The sequence below is a fragment of the Homo sapiens genome, chromosome 19, assembly GCF_000001405.40.
Source record: "Homo sapiens chromosome 19, GRCh38.p14 Primary Assembly".
Taxonomy (NCBI): domain Eukaryota; kingdom Metazoa; phylum Chordata; class Mammalia; order Primates; family Hominidae; genus Homo; species Homo sapiens.
This window is the reverse complement of record NC_000019.10, coordinates 57,045,175-57,048,106: the sequence shown is the minus strand read 5'-3', so window position 1 is coordinate 57,048,106 and position 2,932 is coordinate 57,045,175.

The following is a 2,932-nucleotide window of genomic DNA, read 5'->3' as shown; positions in this document are numbered from 1 at the left end:
GAGATGGTAGAGAAGGTGGAGGGAGGCAGCTATTTTAGGAAGGGAGGTCAGGAAAGTCTCTGGGGAGAGAGCATTTGAACAGGAAGCGCTGAAGGAGTGAGAGAACTGGAAATGAGGCTCACTGCAGGAAGGACTCCAGGATGAGAGCACAACAAAACCAAATCCCCCAGAGGGAGCAGGCCTGAGCAAATGTGCTGGAGAGTCATAGTGGCTGAAATCAACAGCCACTCTGCGGGAAAAAGTATGAAGCAAAGGAGAGACGTAGCAGGAGCCAGCTCTCATGAGGTCATGTCATAGGCCATTGAGAGGATTTTTTTCTGACTCTGATAACTATGTGGGCTTGGAAGAACAATGTTGGTGGTTACTGACAGCTTGATGTATTAGTTACCCACTGCTGTGTAACAAACCACCTCAAAACTTAGTGGCTCAAAACAACAACAGACATTTATCATCTCAGTTTCTGTGGATCAGGAATTTGGAAGTGAGTTAGCTGGGTGGTTCTCTCTCAGGGTCTCTTATAACATTGTGGTTAGGATGTGGACCAGGGCTACAGCCATTTAAAAGCTGGGCTAGGGCTAAAGAATCCACTACCAGGATGGCCCACATACAAGGCTGATGAATCAGCTCTGGCTGTTGGCAGGAGGCCTTGGTTTCTCCATAAGACTGCTTGAACATCCTCACATCATGGTAGCCGGCTTCCCTTAGAGGAGGTGACCCAAGAGAAAGCAAGGCAGAAGCCACAAGATCTCATAGAACCCAGCCTCAGGAGTCACACAGCCATGTCTGCCATATCTTACTGGTTGCACAGCCCCCTTCAATGTGGGAGGGAACCACAAAGGAAGGAATACCTGTTGGCTAGGGTCAGAGGGGACCATCTTGGAGTCTGGCTGTTGCACACTGCCTTATTTTAGGGGCTCCAGGAAACCTTCTCTCACTAACCTGATATTGTACAGACAATTTCTCCAGGAACCAGAGAAGGGTAAGGATTTGAGCAAAAGCAGTATTTATTTTCTCAGGAGAAGAGAATCTCCATGACTCTAATCTTTTGGTTGTCATTTTTTTTTAAAGTCTATTCTCAGATTTCACTTTTGTTCTTTTCATTATTTCATGTGACAAGTAAGTGTTATTTGTCTCTTCTGCAGGGCAGTACAGTGAGAAGATGAAGAAGTCACAAACATTCAGGGGTGCAGAACGAGGTTGGGAGACAGGTCTAAGGTTAGGCATAAAGGCAGAGCCTGACCAAATACAAACAAGCACCTGAACTCAGGGAAGAAAGAGACAATACATTAATTAACAAAGACATGATTTCAGAGAGGAATTTGCTCTGTGAAGAATTTAAAATAAAAGAACGTGATCTTTTAGACAGGATGCTCTGGAAATGAGATAAGGATATTGGAGCTGAGACCTGAATGATGAGAAGTGAAATGTCTGGGGAAGGGAACAGCAGGTGCAAAGGCCCTGGGTTGGGTACAATCCAGGCCACTTGGAGTCTCTTAGCAATCAGATTCCAGGACATTGCCTGGGGCTGTTTCTCAGAACATGTAATGACTATATATTTTTAAAGGTCAGTCCAAGGGGGCCCTCCTCTCCACCTGTGAGCTGGTTGGGTTCCCATTTTCTGGTTCTTCCAGTGATCAGCGGTGCATTCTTGGGCAAGTCACTTCACCTCTCTGTGCCTCAGTTTTCCTACCTGTAAAATCAGGGTATTAATTATGCCCACTTCAAAGGTTGTTGATATAATTAAGAGGAAAAGTGAGTCAGAGTAATTTAGTCTAGGACTAAAAGTAATTTAGTCTAGGACGAGGAACATAGTATGGCTCAAAGACATTTCTCTAATTAATCCGCTGGTCATTCTGGTCCCTATGCCTGTTCTGGTTCAGGCAAGCAAGTCTCCTACCACCTGTGTTTGGGAGGCCAGCCCTTTCTCCCACACCTGACACCTCATTTTCTGGACAAGGGTCGCAATCTTCCTTGGTCTCTTGGCTTGTGGCCATCATCTGTATTTCTTGGTCATTCACACCTCCATGAATCTGCGCTTTTTCTAAACGACCCTTTGCACCTCTGGGCACCTATTCATGTTTCCTTGTGTGCCCTGCTCCTCCCAGGGGATGGGGATGCAGGTAGACGAGATGGATAGGCCACTGCTTTAGGGACCTTTGTTGCAGTACAGTGAGACTAATTCGAAAGAAACAAATACAGAGAGCTCAGATTCTGATAAGTGGAAGAAAAATACTGAGAAAGGTGGACTTGAGTCAATACTAACGTCTCAATGTTGGTTAGTCGATTATAAGAAATGTACCACCCCAAAACACGACGCTGATAATAGGGAAGTTGGGTTGGTGTGGGCCGTATGAGAACTCTCTGTAGTTTGTGCTTAATTTTTCCATAAACTTAAAATTGCTTTAAAAATAAAGCCTATTAATTTTTTAAAAGTTGCTGAAACTGAATATTTTGTGAACCTGTGAGGGATGAAAGGAAATATTACAAAATTTACATTTTTATTCATTCTATTATTGTTTCATGTTAATGATTTACAATTGCATTTTTTTTCTGCAACTCTTGCCTCTGCATGGTTATAACTGCATTTTATAGCATATTGGTAAATGAGCTGTGACATTTAATGTTTTTTTAGAAAACAAACTCTGCATGATATTTGAAAATAAAATATATATAGAGAGTGAACAAAGCAGCAAGTGGCAGGGAGGGTAGGTTTTCTTAGGCAAGCACTTTCCTTCAGCAGGTCTGGCATGGGCCTGGGCACCTGCATTTATAGCAGCCATCCCTCCACACCAGGGGATCCTGGTGCAGGGATCTCTAAGGCTCAATTAGAGTGACACCTGTCTCCTGTCAGGAGGGGCTGAGCTCCTTATAAGCACCCTCTGATTTAATTCTCAAATGACTCAATGAGCTAGACATGATTGCTTTCCCCATT